We start from the raw sequence: 2,924 nt of genomic DNA, 5'->3' as shown, positions 1-2,924 counted from the left end.
CCTCAGCTCACTCCACCATCCTCAGCCCACTCCACCATCCTCAGCTCACTCCAGCATCCTCAGCCCACTCCACCATCCTCAGCTCACTCCAACATCCTCAGCTCACCCCGTTGGGGAGGCAACCATTGAACTCCCTCTGATTTTTCTCATTCCCTCTGGATGCTGATGCTTAGGGAATGCAGACCCCAGCCCACCAACTTCTAAGCAAAGCCAGCAATGAGAGGAGCTCCCTGCTTGCTGGAAGGGAAGGGGAGTCCATCCTCCCTGCCCAGCCTAGGGACTTCCGAGATGCGCTGGATAGGTCTTTCCCCCTTGATCTTTAGCACAACCCAGAGGGTGGTGATTTCCCCCTTTGGCATCTGGTTGGACAATGGATGGGCTTCGCTGAGGGCTGGCAGCCTTGTTGAGCCTGTTCTTTCAGAGAGTGGGAGTGAGTGTCCAAAGGGTCCTCTCAGCCGCCTCCTGCTACATGCCCCTGCCCACTCTCCTAGGGTTCTGCTGGGGACCCCAGTGGGGGCAAAGCTCAAGCCTGGGAAGGATGGGGAAGGTCTCTGGGCACAGGTGGAGAATGTGAAATAACATGAATTCAGCACTTGCCATGTGCCAAGCAGGATGCTGAGCACATCCAAACCCCCAGGACCTAACCATGCTTACACGCTAGGAGGGAAGGCACAGAGCATTCCAGCCTGTGCACAGGGTCAGGACTGGATGGGCCCCTGGGTCCTGGCTGAGCCGTGCTGTCCTTCCATTCTCCAGTGCTCCCGGCCTCCAGCACTGGGTGGCAGGTGCTGGCAGGCTGCCCCACACATCGGCCTGCCCCAGGCTGCCCTTGCACCAGAAGTTGCTGCTTACGGGACTCTAGGGGACTCTCCTCAAACTACTCAGGACCCCAGCAGCTCACTGGACCCTCTAGCTGCATGGTGGCCCCAGAGGGCTTTTGTGGTCTGACCTCAGTAAATGCAGGTGATGGGAAGATGGTGTGGGGAAGCTGTGGGTCTGGCCTGAATTGTGTTCCCTCTGCTCTGCCTTGTTTGCTGGGTTTCTGAGGTGGAGGAGGGATGAGGGAGAGGAGAGGGGAATGGGGTGAAGAGGCAAAGAATTTTCCAGTAGAGGGAGACCAGCTGTGAGAGCTGTGTGTCTGTCTTCCTGCATGCTCAGCATGGAGTGTGTGAGTGCACATGTGTGTGCATATGTGTGTGTGCGGGGTGTATGTGGTGTGTGTGCATGTGTGTGCTTGTGTGTGCATGTGGTGTGTGTGTGCATATGTGCATATGTGTGTCTGTGTGATGTGCATATGTGTGTCTGTGTGATTGTGTGTGTGTGTGTGTGGTGGTGCATGTGTGTGGTGTGTGTGTGCATGTGTGTGTGGTGAGTGCAAGTGTCTTTGGGGGTGCTGGGATTGTGGGGATGCAGCGAGTTGCCATCCTGACTCTCCTTTGTGGGCCCCTCTTCTCCACAGGCCTCAGAGTGCTTTACTACATTTATCTCACCTCCCTATATCTAGCAAGGGGCCCCAAAGCAGAAGAGTTGAGGTGGGAGGTGGGGAATGGGTGTCACCCGCCCTGGCTGTTTCTCTGGCTTCTCAGGGCCACGTGCTTCCTCTCCAGCCCGAGAACACGGCTGTCCTTCATCACCTACTGCATGGAGGACAGCATCGTCCTGCAGCTCACACTCACACTAGGCAGGGGAGTGCTGCTTTGAGCCCCCAAGGGAGGCCTGAGGGGCTGGGCCAGAGGGAGCTCCAGGGAGCTGAGGGGCTCCCTGAGACCTTGGTTGGGAGCCTGACAGCACACATGGCAGGCTGGTCAGGACACCACTCAGTGCCCATCCTGATCTCAATGACTGTTTCCCTGAACGCTCCGGCCCCTGGCTGCACTGCTACTGCAGGTCCTTGTGCTCCGAAAGTTCTCGGCCTCCCTGATCTTCTCCCTCCCCTGCCCTCCCTCTGCCCTGCCTCCTTCCCTGGGAGGTGGCTGTGAGGATTCCTTGGGTGCAGGGGCTGGCGGGGCAAGTGTGTGTATCCTGTGAACACCTGCCTATGCTGGCAGCTGCTCTCTGTGTGTCCCTCTCCGCCCTGGCCGGTGGGGGAGGGAGACAGGGTCAAAGCCACGGGGAGTGCTGAGGCTTTAGCGCAGGGAAGTTGGTGGGCCCAGACAGGGGAGCCACTGGGTGGAGTCCTGAGTTCCAGGCCAGGCTGGGAAGCTGGAGGGAGGCAGGAGGAACAAGTGTCCATGGTGCTGGAGGTGGCACAGCCCTAGGGCACTGCAGAGCTGATAGGCGGGGAGGTGAGGACACTTCCAATGCAGATGCCTGGAACTGAGCCCAGAGGGAACGAAGCACAGAGGAGAGGTGAGGACACTGAGGACGGGAGGGGGCCTGGGCCCCTCTTGCAGCTTTGACGGGGAGCAGGGAGGAGGCTTCCCCTCTGTGGGAGACGGGAGGCTTGGGTGTGTGCCTCCTGTGCTGTGGGTTTGGGAGAGAGAGACTGAAGTGGGCATGAGGGGGAAGAAAGCAAGTCTATGGGGGAGGACTGTGGTGGGAGATGCAGAGAGGCAGTGGGGGCAGGGCCCTTCAAAGGCTGAGTGAGGAAGAATGGGTGGCTGCCTCCCCTCCAACCTCCCTGTTCCTGGGGGTCCTCCCCCAAACTGAATTCCCAGAGGCTGCTGTGAGGAAGCGGCTGTGTCTCAACCAATGTCTGTGTGTCCGCTGGGCCAAATCTTCACCTGGTGTCACTGAGGGTCCAAGAGGAGGCGGCTGGACCTTGAGTACTCAAGGGCCCTCTCCCCACCATGCCTGAAGCAAGGAGCCCAGGAAAGGTCTCACTTGGCCCCTGCACAGGGTGGGCTTAGCGTGATGTTCCCGCCCTGAAATCTGTGGTGCTCTCTCAGGCCCCAGGGGTACAGGCTGTGCACTCAGCCAGGCCC

General features: G+C 59.3%; 1 annotated feature.

The window, feature by feature from the left end:
• Window positions 1,482–2,445: an enhancer, noted in NCBI's record as "H3K4me1 hESC enhancer chr10:47777655-47778618 (GRCh37/hg19 assembly coordinates)". NCBI's record gives its function as "activates a minimal SCP1, AML or CMV promoter by ChIP-STARR-seq in naive H9 embryonic stem cells {active_cell/tissue: H9 hESC(naive)}" and the evidence as "EXISTENCE:reporter gene assay evidence [ECO:0000049][PMID:30033119]".

Source organism: Homo sapiens, chromosome 10 (assembly GCF_000001405.40).
Source record: "Homo sapiens chromosome 10, GRCh38.p14 Primary Assembly".
Classification (NCBI taxonomy): Eukaryota; Metazoa; Chordata; class Mammalia; order Primates; family Hominidae; genus Homo; species Homo sapiens.
This window is presented reverse-complemented; position numbering and strand designations above follow the sequence as displayed.